The 24,552-nt window shown below is 40.7% G+C and overlaps 1 protein-coding gene and 1 pseudogene across 2 annotated transcripts in view, besides 5 other annotated features; both read left to right on the top strand.

Moving 5' to 3' along the window:
- On the top strand, positions 3,648-4,266 carry LOC100289091 (ATP synthase membrane subunit g pseudogene; annotated as a pseudogene).
- Positions 9,569-9,748: an enhancer, noted in NCBI's record as "active region_9478". NCBI's record gives its function as "activates an Ori minimal core promoter by ATAC-STARR-seq in GM12878 lymphoblastoid cells {active_cell/tissue: GM12878}" and the evidence as "EXISTENCE:reporter gene assay evidence [ECO:0000049][PMID:35858748]".
- Positions 9,819-10,108: a silencer, noted in NCBI's record as "silent region_6482". NCBI's record gives its function as "represses an Ori minimal core promoter by ATAC-STARR-seq in GM12878 lymphoblastoid cells {active_cell/tissue: GM12878}" and the evidence as "EXISTENCE:reporter gene assay evidence [ECO:0000049][PMID:35858748]".
- ADAM10 (ADAM metallopeptidase domain 10) overlaps positions 10,188-24,552 on the top strand; it is a 160,899-nt gene continuing 146,534 nt past the window's right edge. For both annotated transcript variants that reach the window (NM_001320570.2, NM_001110.4), the window contains exon 1: positions 10,188-10,415. In NM_001320570.2, the coding sequence (NP_001307499.1) occupies positions 10,361-10,415 (55 nt within the window). In that variant the 5' untranslated portion in view covers positions 10,188-10,360. The remainder of the gene's footprint in view (positions 10,416-24,552) is intronic.
- Positions 10,420-11,055: an enhancer, noted in NCBI's record as "H3K27ac hESC enhancer chr15:59041039-59041674 (GRCh37/hg19 assembly coordinates)". NCBI's record gives its function as "activates a minimal SCP1, AML or CMV promoter by ChIP-STARR-seq in primed H9 embryonic stem cells {active_cell/tissue: H9 hESC(primed)}" and the evidence as "EXISTENCE:reporter gene assay evidence [ECO:0000049][PMID:30033119]".
- Positions 10,439-10,728: a silencer, noted in NCBI's record as "silent region_6481". NCBI's record gives its function as "represses an Ori minimal core promoter by ATAC-STARR-seq in GM12878 lymphoblastoid cells {active_cell/tissue: GM12878}" and the evidence as "EXISTENCE:reporter gene assay evidence [ECO:0000049][PMID:35858748]".
- Positions 10,839-10,968: an enhancer, noted in NCBI's record as "active region_9477". NCBI's record gives its function as "activates an Ori minimal core promoter by ATAC-STARR-seq in GM12878 lymphoblastoid cells {active_cell/tissue: GM12878}" and the evidence as "EXISTENCE:reporter gene assay evidence [ECO:0000049][PMID:35858748]".

Raw genomic sequence — 24,552 nt, 5'->3', positions numbered from 1 at the left:
TCTCCTGTCTCAGCCTCCCACGTAGCTGGGATTACAAGTACTTGCCACCACGCCCGGCTGATTTTTTTTTTTTTTTGGTATTTTAGTAGAGATGGGGTTTCACCATGTTGCCCAAGCTGGTCTCGAACTCCTGAGCTCAGGCAATCTGCCCATCTCAGCCTCCCAAAGTGCTAGGATTACAGGCATGAGCCACTGTGCCTGGCCTAATTTTTTATATTTTTAGTAGAGACGGGGTTTGACCATATTGGCCAGGCTGGTCTCGAACTCCTGACCTTGTGATCCACCTGCCTTGGCCTCCCAAAGTGCTGGGATTACAGTCATGAGCCACGGTGCCCAGCCAGCTTAGCTATTTGTAACAGTTACTTTAGAAGATAGGATTCGTTCAGTGTTTAAAAGAAGTGAGAGTAAGGCTGGAAATAGAATCAAAGTCTGAATAAATGCAAAAAAAAGTGGTCTAAACAATTATATTATTCCCAAAGAAAGCATATAATAACTGGAAGGGAGACGGTGGTCTGCATGGAGTCCAGAGAATATCCCACAGTGTAAGGGTTTGCTGAAGTATGCTTTGATCACCATCTATTGTGGAGGTCCCCTGAACATGTGGATGGTCTGGTACCTATCTATTCCCTCGATAGATTCTACTGTGGCATGGTAAGTTGAATAGTTGGATGAATTAGCCAGCAAAATCATTCAGTTAATTTTTTCTTCAGTGATGCCTTGCTTACTAAGCCACTTTGAATTATGCTTTAGCTTCTCAACTATTGACAAGAAATAATGCATTGACTTGCTAACATGAATAGCTAACTCATAAAATTATGAGGTGACATTTTAAGACCTAAGTCCCTTAAGAGTTTAGCTCCTATAAATTAGTGCTTGTCAGTTGATCAAATCAGGTTGCACTGAGAAAAATCTAGCTTCTGGGCCTTGAAAGCTAACAGGTAGATTCTGGACCATGGCAATGATAATAAGGATGCATTTACCCAGTAATTCAAAAGACCAGACTACAAGATTTGGAGTCAAACAAACTTCGATTAGAAGCCTGGTCTGCCTGTTTCCTCATCTGTTAAATGAGATATATCTAATTCATAGCATTGTTACAAAGAGTAAATGGAATCATGTACATAAATTTCTTACCAAGGTACCTGGTACCATGTCAGGATCATGTTTTGTTTTGTTTTGGTAATCTGGAAATCCCCATAGTAGGAACAAAATAAATACTTGTCAAATGAATGAATGATTATTATCATTGCCATCCTGTAACGTTGTGGGTTGTCCTCTGCTTTGCCTCAAAACTTTCCTATCTCTGCTGTCCTTAACACTGGGATAATAGAATTTCCAGAAAGTAACACATGGTTAATTGCAGATGAGAGATATAAATCATAGGTGTTTCAGACTAAAATGTGATTGAGATTACTATGGCAAGGGGGATCTAGGAAAAAACTTCAAGGACCATTTTGAACTTGGTCTAGTTTTTAAAACGGGTCATAAACTCAAATACTGACAGGGATAACTGGAGTGGGGTTAGATTAGACAAACCCTGTCCAAAGAGGGCAGCCTCTACTCAGTTTCTGCCAATTGATTCTGTGCAAGAATCTAGGTCGGCTTGACCTTTCAGTTTCCACAGAAAATCTAGAATCTTGGTTTAACCATGAAACCTTACAATTATTTAATATTGATGAATAATTGAGAAAAAAAATTTTTGGCCAGGCTCGATGGCTCATGCCTATACTCCCAGTGCTTTGGGAGGTTGAGGAGGGAGGATCACTTGAGCCCAGGAGTTCAAGACCAGCCTGGACAACATAGAAAGATCCTGTGTCTACAAAAAAAAAAAAAAAAAAAAAATAGTGGAGCATGGCAGTGCATACCTAATACCTATAGTCCCAGCTACTTAGGAGGATGAGGCAGGAGGATCACTTAAGCCCAGGAGCTTGAGGCTGTGGTGAGTCCCACTGTACTCCAGCCTGGGTGACAGAGCAAGACTGTCTATTCCATTAGAATAGACATTCTAAATAGAATAGGGAAGATATTTTAAAAAATACAATATAGTTTGATAAAGCTACATTAGAATTATGTAAATGGTAGACATTAAGTTTTGTCTAGAGGGCAAGTTTAAAATTTTACAGAAGGGAAGAAGCCTGAGCCATATATTTAAGAATGTCTATTCCTTTACATTTTAAGGGAATGTGTTCTAATTGCTGTAAGTTATAAATACCGTATTTCACTGTTCTCTTTTCCCTAGACGTGGATTTTTTTTTTTTTAATTTTGAGACAGGGTCTCACTGTGTTGCCCAGGCTGGAGTAAACTGGTGTGATCATAGCTCACTGCAGTCTCAACCTCCTGTGCTCTAGTGATCCTCCCACCTCAGCCTCCCAAGTAGCTGGGAGTACAGGCATGTGCCACCATGCTCGGCTAATTGTTTTATTTTTTGTAGAGACAGGATCTCGTTGGTCAAGCACGGTGGCTCATGCTTGTAATCCCAGCACTTTGGGAGGTTGAGGCGGGCAAATTACCTGAGGTCAGCAGTTCAAGACCAGCCTGGCCAACATGGTGAAACCCTGTCTCTACTAACAATACAAAAGTTAGCCGGGAATGGTGGTGCATGCTTGTAATCCCAGCTCCTTGGATAGCTGAGGCATGAGAATTGCTTGAACCCAGGAGGCAGAGGTTGCCTTGAGCCGAGATTTCACCACTGCACTCCAGCCTGGGTGACTAAGTGAGACTCTGTCTCAAACAAACAAACAAAAAAGGTCAGGCACAGTGGCTCATGCCTGTAATCCTAGCACTTTGGGAGGCCGAGGCGGGTGGATAGCCTGAGCTCAGGAGTTCGAGACCAGCCTGGGCAACACGGTGAAATCCATTCTCTACTAGAACACAAAAAATTAGCCGGGCGTGGCAGCATGTGCCTATAATTCCAGCTACGTGGGAGGCTGAGGCAGAAGAATTGCTAGAACCTGGGAGGCAGAGGTTGCAATGAGCCGAGATCATGCCAGTGCACTCCAGCCTGGACTACAGAGCAAGACTCCATCTCTTAGGAAAAAAAAAAAAGAAAGAAACAGAAAAAGAAGACAGGGTGTTGCTATATTGCCCAGGCTGGTGTTGAACTCCTGGACTCAAGAAATCCTCTTGTCCGGGCCTCCCGAAGTGCTGAGATTACAGGCATGAGCCCCCGTGCCCAGGCCCAGAAGGGATTTTTAAAGTCCTTTTCTTCTCTGATTCCTCTTTTATACAGAAAGTAAAATCCTAACAAAAAAGTGTCTTAAAATGAATTATTGAAAGGATTCTCTGAGCCTAATTTCATAGAATTTATAGGATAAATGGGAGAAGCATTCCTCCTGGAGGGAATAACATGTGCAGAGATGTCGAAGAGGAAAGTGATATGTGTTTGGGAAACCAACTGCAGTTGAACAGCAGCATATTGTGATTAAAGCACATGCTCTTGAGGCAGATCTAACTTTAGGCATTGGTTCTGCCATGCACCAGCTTTCTGATTTTGGGCAAGTTATTTAAGTTGCCATTACCTTACCACTCCTCGAACTCCCGACCTGCTAGCTATTATTGTTATTGTAATTTTTGCAATTGCTACTTTTAGAAGATAAAGTAGGAAAGAGCTGGACATTGGGGACAGCAGACTTTTCATCCTAGAAACATGGCCCAGTTTGTCTAAAACATTACTGAGAAGGCCCCAACACCACCAACGAACACTGCTGTGACTTACTTGAAAACCTGGTTGGCTATATTTTGGCACTGTGCCAAGGTTGAGCTGGTTCCTCCAAGTCCTGCTTAGATTCCTAGTTATTCAGAGCTTTAAAAAAAATAGCTGGGCACGGTGGCTCACGCCTGTAATCTCAGCACTTTGGGAGGCCGAGGGGGGCAGATCATTTGAGGTCAGGAGCTCGAGACCAGCCTGGGCAACATGGTGAAACCCTGTCTCTACTTAAAAAAAAATAGAAAAATTAGCCGGGCATGCTAATTACGTGCCTGTAATCTCAGCTACTCTGGAGCCTGAGGCAGGAGAATTCCTTGAAGCCGGAAGGCAGAGGTTGCAGTGGGCCGAGATCGCGCCACTGCACTCCAGCCTGGGTGGCAGAGCGAGACTCTGTCTCAAAACAACAACAAAAAAACCACTCAGTAACTCTCAAACTGATAGCTTCAAACAGCTCACAGTTAAGGAAGCTATGCTGAATGGTTTGGTGGCCACTGAGGTGTGGATGTGATTTTATATCCAAGAGCACAAAGGCAAACATGGCATCACTGGCTATAATGTTTGAAGACCAGTCTTAAACATCTGATTCTCTTTCATTTATTTTTTGAGTATTCTTGGACTATGTGTGATCAGACTGCTTTGTGTCAAAAAAAAAAAAAGAGTGGTGAAAGACAAAGCTGGCAAGGAAAACAATGACTAGATCATGAGGTCTTGTTTTTTTTGTTTTTTTTTTGAGATGGAGATGGAGTTTCACTCTTGTTGCCCAGGCTGGAGTGCAATGGCGCAATCTTGGCTCACCGCAACCTCTGCCTCCTGGGTTCAAGCGATTCTCCTGCCTCAGCCTCCCGAGTAGCTGGGATTACAGGCATGTGCCACCATGCCCGGTTAATTCTGTATTTTTAGCAGAGATGGGGTTTCTCCACTTTGGTCAGGCTGGTCTCGAGCTCCCGACCTCAGGTGATCCACCTGCCTCAGCCTCCCAAAGTGCTGGGATTACAGGTGTAAGCCACTGCGCCCGACTGAAGGTCTTGTATTTTATCTTGCAGATAAAAGGATCTATATTTTCAAAAGACTGGCAGGTGGGGAAGCGGTGGGCAGGAGGTCAGGCAGTGGGTATGTGAGACAGGAAGACCAAGGCTTGGGCAGTGGCAGTAAAGGTAGGTAGAGGGACTTCATACAATGGAGAATAAAGGTGACTTGATAATCTATCTACTGGGATGGGAGTTTAGGTAATTGAGTGGATGGTGTTGCCATTAACCTAAATAGGGAATTTAGGAGGAAGAGAAGGTTTGGGTAGGTTGATGTAGGGGTTTTTCAGTTTGGGACATGTTACGGAGTATGGCTGTGTAATTTCAGGTAGGAGATGACTAGTAAGAGTTGGATATGTAATAATAACAACATCTAAAATATTTTATAATAGTAATTGTATGCTATGCACTGTTCTTAGTGCTTTACATCTGTTAAATTATTTGACTCCTATAGCAACGCTCTGAAGTAGATACCACTATTTTCCCCATTGTAAAGATTAGGAAACTGTGCAACAGGTGCCTTAACTTACCTAAGGTCAGGTGGCTAGGAAGTTGTGCAACTAGGATATGGGTCTTGGGTTTGGGGGCATAGGAAATGTTCCAAGAAAAAGTGATTGGAATACTGTTCCAGGAAATGTGCTGACAATGTGATAGGCATTGTCAAGACAGACCCAGGCTTTGTTTTCACGGAGTTTATAGCCTAATGAGTTGCATACATTTGGGGGTAGTAAAATATCATGCAAGTGAAAATGAGAAGATAAGAAAGCCAAGGGTAAAATCTTGAAGATCACTAATTGTGCAGTAAAGAGAAGAAAAAGTCACAGGAAAAAGATGTAGAGGAAAGTACAATTAAAGTAAAGAAGAAAGTCCAGAGTGAGTGAAGGTTTGGAAACTGTTAGAAGAGGGAGTTTTGAGGAGAGAGTGTTGTCTGAAAGGTCCAGTAAGATAAGGAGTGAAGATGTCTAGTGGAATTGATCACTAACACATCTTTGATGTCTTTGATGGCCCTAGCAAGAGTAGCTTCTTACAAAGCTAGGTGGGAACAAATTGCGGTGGATTAACAAGCAGTTTAAAAGCAGGACCAAAAGGAAGAGAGACTGGAGTAAGGGATATAAGTTAGGTGTTCTGCAGCAATCTAAGCTAGATAAAATACTATAATTAAAGTAAAGCAGTGGTCCAAACTTGTAACACTGGAATAGTTTCAGAGTGCTAGCCAATCAGAGCAACAGCAGTGAGAAGGGGAGCATTAAAGGCACAAAGACATTTTTAGGGAATAATCAATATGACTTGGTGACAAAAGAATAATCTAAAATGATTCCCCCCCTTTTTTTTTTAAATAGAGATGGGATCTCACTATGTTGTTGAGGCTAGTCTCAAATTCCTGGGCTCGAGTGATCCTCCAGCCTTGGCCTTCCAAATTGCTAGGATTTCAGGCGTGAGCTGCAGTGCCCAGGCTAAAATGATTCCAGGTTTCTGGGATAGTGGTAGTGCCAGTATCAGAGATAAGAAGTTAAATATATTGAGTTTGGCATGACAGTGGGACATCCAGCAGGCAGTTTAGTAGAATTTGGAAATTCACAATGTAATTGTTGAAATGTTTACCAGCATTGGCCTTCGGTCTGTGCAACAAGCATTCTCCTCTAGTATTACTTGTCTATTACACTGTATAATATATGAGCATTTGCTTAAAAGCTGAATTTCCCATTACTAAAACTTGAGGATAACTTTTATTATACTGGTAATATCAAAACTGTATTGTTCCTGAGGAAATAATGCTATTAAAATAATTACGGCTTTCAAGTGGATGTTTGAGTGTTCATGCAGTGACCATAATAGTTACATTTTTTTTACTTAATAGTTACATAGCAATTATTATATTCCAGGTCTATTAACTAATATTAGAAGATAATTAGTTAAAATTATTAGTTAAATTAGTTAAAAGTAACTAATAACAGATATTAACTAATTTAAATGTAATCATCAAAACAATCTGCTGAGGCAAATATTTTTTCATTGTCATTTTACAAAAGAAATATTGAGGCCAGGTGCAGTGGCTCACACCTGTAATCCTGGCACTTTGAGGGGGCCAAGGTGGGCAGATCACTTGAGCCCAGGAGTCTGAAACCAGCCTGAGCAACATGGTGAAACCCCATCTCTACAAAAAATACAACAAATTAGCCCGGCGTGGGGCCCCCCCATCTGCAGTCCCAGCTACCTGGGAGGCTGAGGGGAAGGATCACCTCAGCCCTGGAGGCTGAGGCTACAGTGAGCTGTGGTTGCACCACTGCACCCCAGCCTGGGTGACAAAGTGAGTTCCTGTCTAAAAAAAAAAAAAAGAAAAGAAAAGAAAAGAAATATTGAGGTTAGAAGGCAAAAAAACTTGGCAAAAGTCACACGGTTTATAGATGGCAGAGCTAGGAGTGAAACCCAGGCAGTCTGTGATAGTGTAGATGCAGACCTTATACTTTAATATTTCATCAGTTTTCCATACATTTGCAAAATATCAATAATGAATTAAGTTAAAATAGTAGCCCAAACTTGTAACACTGGAATACCATTCATTATCATGCTGGTATGTAATGCCATTCGTGCATGCTGGTATGTAATGCCATTCGTGCTTGACAAATAAAAAAAATACAGTTTTTCTTTTTTTTTGAGACAAGGTCTGTCTGTGTTACTCAGGCTGGAGTGCAGTGGTGTGATCACAGCTCAATGCAACCTCAACCTCCAGGGTTCAAACAGTCCTCCCATCTCGGCCTCCCGAGTACCTGGGACTACAAGTGCATACCACTGCACTGGCTATTTGATTTTTATTTTTAATTAATTAATTAATTAATTTTTTTGAGACAGAGTCTTGCCCTGTCTCCCAGGCTGGAGTGCAGTGGCGCCATCTCGACTCACTGCAACCTCCGCCTCCTAGGTTCAAGTGATTCTCCTGCCTTAGCCTCCTGAGTAGCTGGGATTACTTGCTTCAGCCTCCAGAATAGCTGGGATTACAGGCACAGGCCACCACGCCCGGCTTTTTTTTTTTTCCTAGCTCTGTCGCTCAGGCTGGAGTGCAGTGGCGCGACCTCGGCTCACTGCAAGCTCTGCGTCCCGGGTTCACGCCATTCTCCTGCCTCAGCCTCCCGAGTAGCTGGGACTACAGGCGCCCGCCATCACGCCTGGCTAATTTTTGTATTTTTAGCAGAGACGGAGTTTCACCATGTCGGCCAGGCTGGTCTCAAACTCCTGACCTCAAGTGATCTGCGGACCTTGGCCTCCCAAAGTGCTGGGATTACAGCTGTGAGCCCCGTGGCTGGCCAAAATAAATACATTTTAAAAATTAAAAAAAAAAATACAGTCTTTATAAATGTAATTTTCAGTAATCATCTTAGTAATGCAAAATATGGCTTTGGAGTTTTTTCCAGTTGAATTTTAAGGGAAAGTGCCATTTGCCTCTAATCACTGGAATTCATTATAAAAATACTGTGCAACAGAAAACATGCTATAAGGTGGTTTAAGAGCTGGAAAATAAAAATATCATTTGTTGACAGCACTACCACAAGAGATTAGTAAAAAGCACAGGTGATATGAGATGTAATGTCTGCAGGTAACTATTTCCTAAGACTGAATATTTTAATGAAGGAAAAAAAAACCATTCGTGAGATTCTGCCATCCTTTGATGATTCCATGTATCTCATTATAAATGGATACAATTATGATGGTTTTGAAACGTCCGTTTTTGAGCCTATTAATGTTGCAGCAAAACTAGAATCATTCATTTCTCAAACTGAGAATTAAAGAAGACTCTTATGGCCAGGCTCGGTGGCTCCCACCTGTAATCCCAGCACTTTGGGAGGCTGGCGGGCGGATCACCTGAGGTTGGGAGTTCGAGACCAGCCTAACCAACATGGTGAGACCCCGTCTCTATTAAAAATACAAAAAATTTGCTGGGCGTGGTGGTGCATGCCTGTAATCTCAGCAACTTGGGAGGCTGAGGCAGGAGAATCGCTTGAACCTGGGAGGCAGAGGTTGCGGTGAGTCGAGATCACACCATTGCACCCCAGCCTGGGCAACGAGAGCGAAACTCCGTCTCAAAAAAAAAAAAATTCTCTTCACTTATGTTAATGGTAATAAATGGTATAAAATATACAGGTAACAGTATAGGAATTCCAGTTTATTACAGTATCAATAACATTAAGGCCGAGCGCAGTGGCTCACGCCTGTAATCCCAGCACTTGTGGGAGGCCGAGGCGGGAGGATCGCTTGAGTTGGAGGTTACAGTGAGCTATGATCACACCACTGCACTTCAGCCTGGCGAGACAGCGGATACCTTGTCTTTAGAAAGCAAAACAAAACAATTTACACACACACACACACACACACACTCTCCCTAATTCGGCTTGAGTTGGAGGTTACAGTGAGCTATGATCACACCACTGCACTTCAGCCTGGCGAGACAGCGGAGACCTTGTCTTTAGAAAGCAAAACAAAACAATTTACACATACACACACACACACACGCACACACACACTCTCCCTAATTCGGCCTACTCAAGCACGATACCAAATAGATGAAGAATATCTAATTAAATGGCCATAAAAAGTTCTAGTTCATGACATCCAAGTTTAAAGAATCAAAATGAGTTACGAGAAAACAAACACAAGCTTTAAGAAGTTGGGGAGAAGATGTGCGTGGATTCGCTTCAAAGATGTGACAGAGAGAAAAGAGGACATTTTCTGGACTGGAGATTCAAGACAGTCTGGTTCAGGTTGCATGCTTTTGCAAAGGCTAAAGCCTTAGTCTGTGACATAAATTTGTAAAGAGCTCGGAAAATTACATCTCGGACATGGTGTCTTTTTTTCCTGCTGCTTGAAGGTCTTTGCATTTATGTTCGCATCACTGGGGCAGCTGCCGCTATAATTACTGCTTGTTGGGACTTTTTGTTTACTTGGTAGCTGTGGTGCACCAAGAGAGGCAGAAAAAGAAGAAAAAAAACCTCTGTTACTTGTGACGTTAAGAAGTCGAAAGCAGCCCTGCTTACATCTTCCACGGACCATTTTAGCCCAAGGGAAGGTCCTCAGCAGCTCTAACACGTAGCGGAGCACTATCTCCGCGTAGGAGCGCTCCCGCCCCGGGGCGGGACCAGGACAAACCCCGCCTCCCAAGCCCAATCCCAGCTCTCCGCCGGCGGACAGGAAGCGGCGGCAGGCCTAGCAGCACGGGAACCGTCCCCCGCGCGCATGCGCGCGCCCCTGAAGCGCCTGGGGGACGGGTAGGGGCGGGAGGTAGGGGCGCGGCTCCGCGTGCCAGTTGGGTGCCCGCGCGTCACGTGGTGAGGAAGGAGGCGGAGGTCTGAGTTTCGAAGGAGGGGGGGAGAGAAGAGGGAACGAGCAAGGGAAGGAAAGCGGGGAAAGGAGGAAGGAAACGAACGAGGGGGAGGGAGGTCCCTGTTTTGGAGGAGCTAGGAGCGTTGCCGGCCCCTGAAGTGGAGCGAGAGGGAGGTGCTTCGCCGTTTCTCCTGCCAGGGGAGGTCCCGGCTTCCCGTGGAGGCTCCGGACCAAGCCCCTTCAGCTTCTCCCTCCGGATCGATGTGCTGCTGTTAACCCGTGAGGAGGCGGCGGCGGCGGCAGCGGCAGCGGAAGATGGTGTTGCTGAGAGTGTTAATTCTGCTCCTCTCCTGGGCGGCGGGGATGGGAGGTGAGGCACGACTGCGAGCGCCGGGGGCGCCGCGACCACGGCGGAGCGGCGGCCGGGCCGAGCGGAGCCCAGTCGCGCCTCGCGGCGTGCGCGTCAGTCAGCCCAGCCGGCCAGCGGCGCCACTCTGGCGGGCCGCGCTCCCCGCTCCCTATTGTCCCCCGCGCCCCGACCGCTTTCCCTTCGGTGGCGGGCCGAGGAGGCTCCCAAGCCTCCGGCGAGGCCTTCCCCGCCCCCCACCGCCCTGGCGGCCCCGGGAGGCGGGGGTCGCCTCCCAGAGAAGCGAAGTCGGGGCATCCGCGTCGCCTGGTGAGAGCGGTGGAACCCAGGCTGGTGGCTGCATCCCTCCAGTCTGCTCGGCGGGCGCCGGTGCAGGCAGCCGCAGCGAGGCTGGCGGTCTCGCCGTCCTCGTTCAGCGCTCATCCTGCTCACCATTCCTCCCCCAGCCCCTGCCCGGTGGCGGATTCCGAAGTCCTCTCCGCCGCCGAGACCCGCCGCGCAGACTCGTGGGAAGTTGTGTTGTTTGCAGCTGGGCTCGTGTATTGTTCTTTACCCGGCGCGCCGGTCCTGACCGACCCCATTCTGCAGAGGGGCCGCCCGTGGAGTGGCAGCAGTCATCACCCGCTTATCTGAGACTAGTGGCCTCGGTTCTTCCTGTGTCCTGTGTTTGGAGAGAGATCACAGGAGGGTGTGTTGGTGTTCTTGAAAACATTCTGTCGCCCAGGGGAAAGGGTTTGGTCGGGAGAAGGGTAAACCATTTGGGGATGTTCTTTGATTTGTAGGCTGGATTGGGTCTCTTAGAGTAGAAGTTCGGTCCCTGGGTGACCCAACTTGAAGAGTTTCGTTAAACTTTCAGGTGGAGTAGATGTACAGTGTAGTTAGTGGATTGTCAAAACAGTGCCCCCTCCCCCCTGCACATGAAAGTCAAATTTGCTAAAAGCATGTCATTTCTTGTTTCGGGTTTTGAAGACAACGATTTTTATTTCCGGTGTGTTCTAGGACCAGCTGCATCATTTTATTCTTGCTTAAAGTGCTTTATTTTAGGTAAGCTTTTTGACTTGCCCCAGAGTAAACTTAAAAACCTCAAGGTGTGCCTAAAAGCAACGATTGAAAAAATTTGAGGAATGCTTTGGATGAGTGTCTGTAGCCTTTGATAATTTAGAAAATATCTATTTCATGTAATGTATTGTTTCTGTTTTTTTCTTTGCCACTTTGACTTATGACTGCAGGACCAAGTGTATTTCTGTCCTGTATTCTACCGAGTCCGAGGGTGGTACTGCGTAGGCAGACTTCTGTTATAGTTTGTAGTGTTCATTTTTTTGTTACACGTTTTATTTAATTTTTTTCAATCCAATTCATCAAGCAAGACACACATTATAGATTAAGAGCTGATAATAGATGTTTAGTTTTAAAAAGGATTATGTGCGGGAGACTCTCTGTTAGAGGAGCCTTTTTCATCTGACATTTGTTATTTCTGTTCTAAACGTGGCTTTCAACAAATCGTTTTCCTATCTTTTTTCACTTTTTGTGATTAAATTCAGGAGTTAAGACACTGTTCTCTATAAGGTAATAAAAAGTAAGACAAACACATGAGGCACTTTACTGAGTAGTAGTATACTAAATGTTCTTTTAAAAATAATGAAAACAGTAAGAAACTGATGTAGTCTTATATTTGAAGAAAAAACAATTGAATAACATGTTTGTGGGTTAAAACTCTTATACAAAAATTTTCTAAATTCATATTTCCAGAGTCCTTTATTGCATTAAGCATTGGTTAAAAGGCTAATTTTTGGTGTTTTTGTTAAGCAGAACTTTTTCAAAAAACATAAGACAAGTTTTATTAGTTTTATTTTAAAATTAGTATCAAGATTCTAGCTTTTGGGTACTTGGAGATACTTGTAATTTTATTGTAACTATGGGGTATTTTTATCTACTAATCTGAGCTATTTTTGGTCACTTGTAAGATCTTTGTATGATGATTTGTAGACTTCAGCACATTGAGATTGAATGTATTTGTTTTAGCATATGAGAGAAAGGAGAAATTTGTGTAGATTAGAAGTTGTGGTGGAAATTTAACTTAAAATGTAAATCATTTTCAGGTAGTTAATAAATCCTTTTTGTTGCTTCCACCTCCCCAATTTGTCAGTCACTGTTGTGTGTGAAATTTTTCTTGCTCTGTATATTACTAGGATGGGAAGCTGGAAGGAATAATTAAAGTGTTTAGAATCATAAAACAAACTTTCCTAATGGTGTCCATTTCCAGCACAGCCCCATCCTATGTTGTAGTTGTAGGAGCAAACCATGTTTTTTTATTTTATTTTTAAAATTTAACTGGTGTGTTTGAGAGCACAAAAGGCATTTCAGCTGTAGCAGTAAATTCCATAATGTTTTGGTTTGATGAAATCATGCCCGAAATGAACTTCAGAGTATGATATGTCTCTTACATTTAAAAATCTGATGTAAGTGCTTAGCTTTGTACATTACTGCTCAATAGAAATAAGTTTTCTGGAAACTTGACCAGAGCTTTAAAGGTAGTAGAGCTTAAGCAGTTAAACTTTCTCTGACTCTGAGTCGGAATCTACCAGCAAATAAGAATTTAATGAAAGAGACAGACTAATTTTGTCTTTATCCTTAAGGATCTCTGACTCTTCATCTTTTTAAAACTTCAGTTTGAGTCCAGTTAACTCCATCATCTTTTTTAAAAAATGTTTTATTTTGTTTATTTATTTTAAAAAGTAGTGATGGGGTCTTAATACGTTGCCCAGGCTGGTCTCAAACTCCTCGTCCCTAGCGACCCACCTACCTTGGCTTCCCAAAGTGCTGGGATTGCAGGCATGAGCCACCCTGACTGGCCAATTCCTTGTCTTAAGACATTTTTCTTAACAAGAAAAATTTACATATTACATATTACTAGGATGGGAAGCCAGAAGGAAGAATTAAAGTGTTTAGAATCATAAAATGTAAACTTTCCTGATGGTGCCCATTTCCGGCACAGTCCCATCCTATGTTGTAGTTGTAGGAAGGTACCATTGCCTACATTAATGGTATTTTCTGTGTGTATGTGTACAGCCTCTCCCAGCAGGCATGGCAGGCACTTCTCTGATGTGCTTTTAGTAACTTGTTTAAGATCTTCAAGGATGTGTATTATCTGATCTCTTTAAAATTTTTCTAAGGACCTTAAGGGTTGTAGGGCTTGGGGCAAATGGAACATTTCCATGATGCCTTTTGTGTGTCTAATACTGTGTTAGGAGTTTCACTTTTCAACAGTTATGAGAGAGGGGTGATAGGCAGTTGAAGAAACAGACTTGGAAATATAATTTTTCTAGCATCATCCACCACTTAGTGGTGAATTGGACATTCGAACTCAAGCTGGTTTGACCTTAAACCCTAATAAGCTTTTTATCCATTGCCCCTTCATGCCTTTTTTGAAAGCGGCTTTCATACATTAGCTCAAAGGTGGCCTCTGGACTAAACTACCTTAGAGATATGTTTTATTCACAGTGTCTTTAAGTTTGAGCTAATGATTAACATTGAAAAATTGGGATATTTCTCAGTGAAATTCATGGATTTCTGGATTTTCGGGGAAGACTTGGAAATCCAGATACTAGTGGGCTGTATTCCTATTGTGCAGAGCTGAGCAGTAGGGCAGTAGCCACCCTCTTTAAACTGGGTATGTGCTTACCGGTTACTGCAGTCCCCATCATTCCTAATGATACACCTGGCCTTTTTCACTCATTTTTGTTACCTGCTTGGGTACTGTGGGTATGTTGTTCCCATCTCTGCCTTAGCTTTATCTTGTATAGATGGCTCCAACTTTTAAAAAATGTTTGACTGTGACCCCTTATCCAACTTTTAATATTTTTTTGCAATGTTTTCTCTGTAGTCTTAAAGATTTGTTTAAAAAGAACATGGTATACACAATACTTTTTATTCAGCATTAGGTTATTAGATGTTTTTTAAAAAAACCCGTTTTCATAATAGTAGCAGCTTGAAGGTCTTTAATATAGAATGATCGTTACAGTCTCTCCACATTTCTTTATCTAAATGGGTAAGTAAGAAACCATTTCTTTTTCTACTGGGATGAGAACCACAGAAAAAATTAGTTGAGGGTCATATTAATAAAAACCAATTTAAGAATAGGATACAAACATAAACTCTGCTTTTGAAATTAAGGTGATGAAATGGAGGAACAATAACTTCAGCAATTAGCTACATTTTCCTAACATTGTTGGCAGATCAGTGGTTCAGATATGAGATGATGTCCATATAACAAACTCTGGGAATACACTTTTATTTTTTTGAGATGGAATCTCGCTCTGTCACCCAGGCTGGAGTGCAGTGGCACGATCTTGGCTCACTGCAACCTCCGTCTGCCAGGTTCAAGCGATTCTTCTGCCTCAGCCTCCAGAGTAGCTAGGACTACAGGTGCGCACCACCACGCCTGGCTAATTTTTGTATTTTTACTAGAGACGGGGTTTCACCATATTGGCCAGACTGGTCTCGAACTCCTGACTTCAGGTGATCTGCCCGCCTTGGCCTCCCAAAGTGCTGGGATTACATGCATGAGCCACTGCGCCCCGCTGGGAATACAATTGTAAATTTTTTGTGTTTTTGTTGTTGTTGTTGTTGGTCTTGGTTAGAGATGAGGTCTCACTAGGTTGCCCAAGCTGGTCTTGAACTCTTGGCTTTAAGCAATTCTCCAACCCTGGCCTCCCAAAGTGCTGGGATTACAGGTGTAAGCCACTGTGCCTGGCCAGTTTTGGGTGTTTTTGATGGAAGTTTTTCTAAAATGTGGAAAATTTACTGTAGACACATTTACTATCTCCTTAAAATGGACTGAATTTAACCTTACATGATTGAAGTTTAATATGGAGAACAGTTGTTATTCTGGGTTCTATTGTAGTTTCTGTTTTTAATTTTTCCAGAAATGACTGAAATGGCCTGGTAGTTTATTATTTTTCTAAATTTATTCTAGATGATTGTGGATTTTATTCTTGGATCTAGTTGTAGCAATATTTCCAACTTTTTGGTTAGGTTTCTTTGCTTTCTTGTAAACTTTGAAGATGTTACCTTCTAATTGGTTGTTTCTAGTATGTTTTATGTAGGAAAACTAAATAATTATATTTGAGAAACATGCTTGCATGTGAAATGAAATAAATAAATTCTAAATCTTCTGTGGAATGAAGTACATGGGCTTTAGGTAGTTTTTTCTTTCTCCCTGCCCCCCACCCCTACCCCTCACCTTTCAATATGTATAGCTTGGCTTTGTAGAGTTTAGCATTGAGGTTGCCTGGATCGTAACTTTCTAAACAGTTGGAATGATGTGGTACTAATGTGTTTTGCTAGTTACAGTTAGACAGGGAAGAATGGAGAGAAAAAACTGATGAATAACCAGGCAGGTACAGCAAATAAAATGTATTCTCATTAGGTTGCAGATAGATCGTGTCCTAGAGCTAAATCATGAGTACTCTGGTTTTATACTAATATACTAGATTATTGGTATTAAACATACTCTAAAATGTCCAACTGTAATATTTTCTACAGGAATAGAAATTGTGAATTAAGAAAAAGTGTTGGCCAGACACAGTGGCTTACGCCTGTAATCCCGGCACTTTGGGAGGCTGAGGCAGGCGGATCACCTGAAAGGTCAGGAGTTCGAGACAAGCCTGCCCAACATGGCGAAACCCCCTCTCTACTAAAAATACAAAAAATTAGCTTGGTGTGGTGGCAGGCGCCTGTAATCCCAGCTACTCAGGAAGCTGAGGCAGGAGAATCGCTTGAACCCGGGAGGTGGAGGTTGCAGTGAGCTGAGATCGCACCACTGCACTCTAGCCTGGGCGACAAGAGTGAAACTCCGTCTCAAAAAAAAAAAAAAGTATTTTGTTTAAAGGAAAGTCAGTGAAAGGTAGATGACAGGGGCTTATGGTACTGTGCTGGTTTCTAGTAAGTAGCTGTGTTACAGCAACTGTGTTACCATTTTGGTGATTTTTACATTTGTATAAAGTTAAATTTCTTGTCTGTCTTTAATTGTATTACATTATAATGGTTAGAAAAAAATTTGCTAAAGTTGGGGCATTGTTTTGGAAGGGTCTAGCTTAAAATATGGTCTATGTGGAGTACCAGAAATGTAGTTTGTGTGGAGAAGGTTGTGGGCAAGGGCAGTCATTGGCCACTGCTGCCAACACAAAGTTTCAGTGAGAGGCCTATGTGAGATAAATTGTGGATAGGAAAGGCTGCAGACAGAAAAACACATAGTGATTTCAAATCTGAACCCCCGCCCCCCGCCACCGAAGCCCAAAATCACAGGGGCAGGCCTTCCAAATTGTAGGAATGATTTGCATTTCATTTGGTTTTTACACGGGCAGCTCTATGTGACATGCTGGGGTAAAGAGGCCCAGGTTTTTGTTGTTGTTTTGTTTGTTTTTGAGACAAGGTCTCTTTCTGTTGCCCAGGTTGAAGTACAGTGGTGTGATGTCAGCTCACTGCAGCCTTGACCTCTGCAGCTCAAGCAATTCTCCAACCTCAGCCTCTCCATAGCTGGGACCACAGGCACACGCCACCATGCCTGGTTAATTTTTTGATTTTTTTGTAGAGATGAGGTCTCACTATGTTGCCCAGGCTGTGTTGTTGTTTTCTAAAGGAGTAATTGATTTAATTAATGATCGTTAATGCTCTTCCAAGCAACCCTAAAAACTCTGCTTGTTCTGAACAAAAATCTAGCAGTGGTAATTCTAAGTAGTCTAGCTGTTGATTTTTATATTAGGAAAAAGGAAGCAATGTTAAGGACAAGTGGAAAAACTATAATAACCCTACCACTTGGATTCCTGTAAGGGCAGTGACGTTGCTGTCCAGCAATGTGAAGATTTTGCGTTAGTATTAGGATAGCCTGACCCAGCTAGTTTGCAGGAAATAGCGGTGCTGAGAATATTTCTCAGGGAATGTAGTCTCCCTTTGATGCTGAGTGAATTCATTTTGAAGCTACTACAGATGCTCCTTGACTCATCATAAGTTGAAAATATCGTAAGTCGAAAATGTATGTAATGTTGGCAACAGAGATGATGGTTCAGTGTATGATTTTTCAACTTTGTGATGGTGAGAAAGTGATACACGTGCAGTAGAAACTGTAACCCCATTTAAGTTTTAAGGAGCTCTCCTCCACTTAATGTGGGGTTATGTCACAACCCATCATAAGATTGAAAAATACGAATCATAGTAAGTTGGTTAACATACATACAGTCCACTTGTACTACTGCAAGTAAACAATGTGAGATGTATACAGTGAGAACATTGCTGTTTAGTCACCAGGATTTATTATGTGTCTATGACTGTTAGGAGTCGTGAAGCCACAGTATTAAGTGAGAAGAAAAGTAAAAAATACTGAGTTTGTTGGAGTAAATGAAATGCCAAAATATAAAAATATACTTCCAATTATATATTGTAGTTGCACCTGAAATGAGGATTTGTTAAGCTTGAGGGACATCAGCAAGCGGGGAAGGCTTTCTGAGGTGGAAGAGAATGACACATAAGATGCTTGTAGGTTTACTTGCCTGGAATCGATAGTCTGTGTCAGGAAATAAGGAGAATTGCTAACTGGGCCATGATAATCAGGACTGATTATTCTAGGCCATGATAACTATGAGATAGAATATTATGGACTGTTGGGTGGAGTCCCTGTTGAGGAGTTAGGTTATGATTGACAAATTGGGTGATTGAGTCTTGGATTAGAATGATCGTAGAAATAAGTAAGGATAGAACAAGAAATGACATGGAAGAAAAACTGATAAAACTGGGCAAATGTTTAACGTGAAAGTAACAAAACTTATAGAGGGCTCACTCTGTTGAATTTAAATATTAGGCTGTTTCATTGGAGTGAGTGTGGTTTTATAAAACTTTGAAGACCTCAGTCGTTGAAGTTGAAAATGTCTTAAGATTTTGAGTCTGGATAGAAGCTTATAGGTTGGGATGGGTGTCAGCGTCTGGGATTTTATTTTATTTGCATGCTAATACTTGGGAACTGGATAAAACTTTGCATAGATCTTTAATCTCTGGCTAGTTATTTGGGAAGCAGTGCTTTAGGTAGCTGGATTATAGAAGTTTAGTGAATTTGGAGTGGAGATAGAGATTAGTTTAAAGATATACTAACACTTTTTTTTCTTACTTAAGTTGGAATTAGGCTATTCAGTTCAAAAATATGATTGACACTCTTGATTTCATGTGAACTATGAACTTCTGTTTCCAAGACAAATAGGGGAAAATAATGCGATCTTTGCATTTTAGGCAAATTTGCATATGTGATTTGTGGAGCAGAATTTGCTTACCATCTGTTTTTGCTTGTATTGATGATGGCAGGACACACGTGTGCATACATTTGAACTTTGAATTTAGCTTTCAAAAGAACACATAGAATTCTCTATGATTTGATGGGGTATTAATTTACTACCCCTTTTCCTAGGAATTAAGTGGGATAATTTGTAAAAGTGCTAAAGACTTTAAAGTACTATATAAATATTATTAAAATTATGTCGTTTCCAGACCTGCTTTCATTTGGAATCTATTAGTTACAAAATACAGATGGATAAAATCTATTTTTAGTAGTTGGAATATTAGAACATCATTACCAAACATTAGAAAATAGAATTAAAGAAAATCCGTAATTCCTCCTTCAACACAATTTTATCACTTTTTAATATTAATCATGTAGTCTTTTAAAATGCCTATTACGAATTTATAGTATTTGTGTAGTTCTGTATACCTTTAAAAAACTAATGTATAGTTAATGGCTGGGTGTGGTGGCTCATGTCTGTGATCCCAGCACTTTGGGAAGCTAAGCTCGGAGGATTAGTTTAGGCCAGGAGTCTGAGACCAGCCTGGTTAACATAGCAAGACCCTGTTTCTATGCCAAAAATAAATAAATAAATACAAGAAAAATGTAAAGTGTAGTTAAAACGCATAAGTATGCAAAGCAGACACTGAGATATGTATAAGTAGTAAAAAATGAAATCATGTCATTCCTGTTTATACCATATTTTTTCTATTTTATAGATATTGCTGTTCTTTTTTTTTTTTCTTCCCTAGAGACAGAGTCTCGCGCTGATGCCCAGGCTGGAATGCAGTGGTGCGATCTTGGCTCACTGCAGCCCCTGCCTTCTGGGTTTAAGCGATTTTTGTGCCTCAGCCTCCGAGTAGCTGGGACTACAGGCACTTGCCACCAGGCCCTTCTCATTTTTGTATTTTTAGTAGAGACGGGGTTTCACCATGTTGGCCAGGCTGGCCTCGAACTCTAGACCTCAAGTGATCCTCCTTCAGCCTCCCAAAGTTTTGGGATTACAGGCATGAGCCACCATGCCGAGCTTTGATATTGCTGTTCTTTATTTCAAGCTTTATAGTTAAGTTACTGATCTGTGTCTTCACTAGAAAGACAATGTTAAGAGGGAAGTAACTTTATTCTTAGTCTTCATGTTTTAGGACCTAGCACAGTGTCTCACTCACATTAGGATTTTATAATATGTGTTATTAAGACTACAGAATTGTTAAATACATTGCTTAGGAAGTGGACTGGACTTCTGGATACATGTTATGCACCCGTTTTCATTCAGCAGATATTGGCATTAGTGAAGCAGCCTTCATGGTACTGGCTGTCAGCTATATTATGGAAATAGTCTCATTACATGAAACTGAATGTCATAATGATTTTTGTTAAAATTGGAATATTGCTGTAGTAAAATTAGAAAGTGACCTCCTCCAATTAGTACAGCATATTATCAGAACCCTCAAATGTGTATTATAAAGGTTAGGTATTCTAATCTAGCATAACGGAGAGGACAGTTTTGTTGACAGCTTTGGAGATGGATTGGCACTGATGCTTATAAATTGGTTCGGAAATCAGAATTTAATTTTGGCAAGAATTTATAAAATTTAAGAATTTATTTTTTGAAAATATTTATTTATTTATTTATTTATTTTTTTGAGACGGAGTCTCGCTCTGTCACCCCGGCTGGAGTGCAGTGGTGCTATCTCGGCTCACTGCCAGCTCCGCCTCCCAGGTTCATGCCGTTCTTCTGCCTCAGCCTCCCGAGTAGCTGGGACTACAAGCACCTGCCACCATGCCTGGCTAATTTTTTTTTTTTTTTTTGTATTTTTGGTAGAGACGGGGTTTCACCATGTTAGCCAGGATGGTCTCAATCTCCTGACCTCGTGATTCACCTGCCTTGGCCTCCCAAAGTGCTGGGATTACAGGCGTGAGCCACCGCGCCCGGCCCAAAATTTAAGAATTTATAAATTTTCTTGGTAGCCCATAAAATTCACTTGTATCCATCCAGTAGCAGAAATCTCTTAGTAACTCCATGATCTCTAGGAGCAGTAGGCCATTTAGTAGGGAGGAGCCCTTTTTCTTTAATGTAGAGCAAGCTTTGGCATAGTGGTTCTCAGCTAGGGGCAGTGGCGGATGTTTTGGGATATCTTATGGGAAAAGGGTGAGTTAATGACAATGGGTTTAAGATGAAATGCAGGGAGTGGGACAGATGTATATCAAAAGTGAGGTGGTGGCTGTGTGAGTGTGAAAGTGATGTAGGCAGGTTGAAAGTCATACTCTATTACTGTCTGTACTTGTGTCTTATTAGAAATTGTATAAAAGATTCAATATAACCCACAGGTTCAGAAAAAAAGAATAAAAAAAGATTGTATAAAAGAATTTCAAATCAGCATAGAAATCTTACGTACACATTTCAATTTTTTGATTTTTAAATTGTATTTCATAAGTTAGTGGTATAAATTTAATACATTCAATAGATTTTAATCATTCGTGTTTTCAGCCCTTTGTATATAATTTATAAAAGAGCTACTTAGACTTCTGAGCCAGCTTGTGTTATTTTTACTTCTTAGAGACTAGCTGATTTCAAAAAGTGGGTATGTTGAAATAGGCTTTTAATTGTAGACACTCCCTCCTATCTTGAACTTTAACTTGTAACTGTTAGGTGTAGCTGTTTGCTTCTAGAAGATGATTTGACTGATTTCTAGTGAAAAAATAGGTACTGGCTTAAGTTTGAATTCACATTGTAGAAGTAGCTTTTCAAAGAGTGCATTAAAGGCACTTAAATATATTGCTGGAATATAGGGCATGATAGTTCCTGGAAGCCTACCTTTGTCATACAGGAGAACAGTTTTGTTAGTGGTATTTAGTGCCTGAAGATCTGAGTGAATATGTATTATCAAATAAAGGAAGCATTGGTCAACACAGTATGATGCCTATGACATGTAGTTGATGACTCAGTAGGAAGGAAATATATTTTTATGTTGGGGAAAAATGCTGTTGGTACCTCATTTTGAAATTATGCAAGTGAAAAGTCTGTTGAAAACAAGTTGATTACAAGTAATTTTTTTTGAGGAATGCAAATATGCCATGCTTAGCTTACTCTTATATCCTCTCATTTATTGTAATTGAGTTTTTCTGTAAATAGGAAGATCTGTAATATCAAAACATTATTGCAGATTTTCCTCTCCCATTCTTAAGATTGTATAGCCAACTTTTTGGGTATAGATAGGAAAAAACTTGCTTGTTATATGATATTTCTGTCTCACACCAAGGTGATGATGGTGACCCACTATCAGAGAGTTATTCTTTGTTTTTTCTCCTGATGTTAATGAAATTTTCATTCCGTATTTTTTTGCACAATTCTTTAATTTAGTAGATTGGAACAGAAGATTGTAAGTTTTGGGTTCAAGGATTGGGAAGGAAGCTTTTGCTTAGAAGGGTACTTGGGAAGTAAGATGCTACCTACCCATGGAATATGGAAAAAAATCACAATGGCTGGCATTTGTTGGGGTACTTAATGCCAGGCACTGTTGTTAGATCATTTTGTGTATCATATATTAACTTGGTCTTCACAGCATCTCTATGAGATACGTGTTGTTATTTTCATTTTATAAATGAGAGAGGAGGATCAGGGAGGGTTACTTATCCAGAGTCAGGAAAGTCAAATAGTAGTTATCAGTTGAGGGAAGCCAGATCTTGCCTTTACATGTAGGCTAATTTTACCCTTAAAGCGTAATTTAGGTTCTTTGTACTTACAGTATTTGAAGAATTTGCCTTTTAGTCAGTCAGGTTCTTTATAGAAGGTATTTTATTTTTTGGATGTGAAAAAATGTTTACATTTGAGGGGAGAAAAGCAGCTTACAGAAAGAACACGCATAAAACCATTTCAGTTTTGTCATAGATAAATATATATGTAATCATTTTTAGAGAACAGATACCAATTTTCTGGGTAGTAAGATTCATAATGCACTTCTGTGATTAGGAAAAATAATTTTTTAAAAGGCGGATTGGTAAATACCAGTATCCTGGCGACTTTGAGAAAAATTAAGGGAAATAAAAATACTGTTCTCAAATTGTAAAAAGGGAGAGCTCTCCTAAGCTCTCCTGTGACAAGGAGGCCAAGTTATGTTTTTTCTATTTCTTAGAACCTGCTGGTCATTTTTCTGCCACTCTTGCATGTGATTTTTTGGTATTACTTAGTCTTCCCCCTTAAAAAAAAACTAGAGATGGGGTGTTACTGTGTTGCCCAGGCTGGTCTTGAACTCCCGAGCTAAAGTGATCCTCCTAAACAATCACTTTCGACTTCCCAAAGTGCTAGGATTACATAAAATTTGATAAAGGATCTGTTTTCTCTATCTCGTAGATCCAATCTAGTTATTCTTCTGGCAGTTTTACATAGAGGCTTTTTTCGATATACTGTGTTTCTTTTTTTAATTCTTGAAAATTTTTATACTTTCTAAAAGATTGCAGGTATGCTAGTAGTTAATATTTGTATGCCTTTCACCTGAATTTATGAATGGTTACCTTTACCACATTTACTCTCTTTTTAATAATATATTATTTTTTTCCCTCTGTTTCATTTGAAAATAAGTTGTACTCTAAATACTTCAGTATGCTTGCATTTCATAAAAGTAAGGACATTCTGCTACATAACTAAGGAGATTTTTTTCTTAAGTGTGGAGATGTTCAAATTTCCCATGGGGCTTATAAGTATTAGGTGCCATGTGACTGTAGTATATGCTTTGTAGTATATGCTTTTCAGATTTCCCATGGGGCTTATAAGTATTAAGTACCATGTGACTGTAATATATGCTAGCTTTTTGGCAACTAAAACTGAGAACAAGAAAGTTAAATGCTGTTGGTGCGCTTTTCTGTGTAGGTGAAATAAAGTAACAGAAGAGAAAGGAGAAGACGTTGACTTTGCAGAGTAACTATCTTGTAGGGTGGAGCTGTTTTTATGTAGGAATAATAGCACAATAACATAGCCTTGAGGTTACTGCATCATTATGGCCTCTTCTGGTGAAGATGTTAATAAGGATAAGCCTGGCTTAACAAGAACATGTTAGAGTAGGAGGAAAATTAATCATCCATCAAATAGAAAGATATTTAGCAAGATATAATTACCTAGAAACTGTCCTTAGTGGAAGCTGTCATTTTCCATTGATGTCAGATTAGTAACATTTTATTGTCCTCTAGGTTAAATGTATTTTATTTTCATCATTGTCAGGTAGCATGTATTTCTCCACTGTTAAAGTCTTTATGTGAAAATGCCTTTTGTAAGTATGTATAAAACCATTTCAGTTTTTTCATAGATAAATATATATGTAATCATTTTAGAGAACAGATACCAACTTGCTGGGTAGTAAGATTCATAACGCACTTCTGTGATTAGGAAAAATAAATTTTTAAAAGGCAGATTAGTAAATACCAGTTGACCCTCTGTGTCTGTGAATTTTGTATTCATGGATTAAACCAACCACGAATGAAAAAATTCAAAAAATGAAATTGAGTCTGTACTTAACATGTACAGACTTTTTTCTTGTTATTATTCCCTACACAACACAGTACAACAACTATTTATATAGGATTTACATTGTATTGTGTATTATAAGTAGTCTAGAGATTATTTAAAATATACATGGGTATGTGCATAGGTTGTATGCAAATACCGCGTCATTTTGTCAGGGATTTGAGCATCAATGGATTTGGATATCTGTGGGAAGTCCTTGAACCAACCCCCCAGGGATACCAAGGGACAATTTTATTTTATTCTTTATCAGGAGGGATAAAATTAGGAATTAAGATTGGCATTCTTTGAGTCCTTACTTG

This window comes from Homo sapiens, chromosome 15 (assembly GCF_000001405.40).
Source record: "Homo sapiens chromosome 15, GRCh38.p14 Primary Assembly".
NCBI lineage: Eukaryota > Metazoa > Chordata > Mammalia > Primates > Hominidae > Homo > Homo sapiens.
Note: the sequence above shows the minus strand (reverse complement) of the source record. Positions and strands in the feature narration are given on the sequence as shown.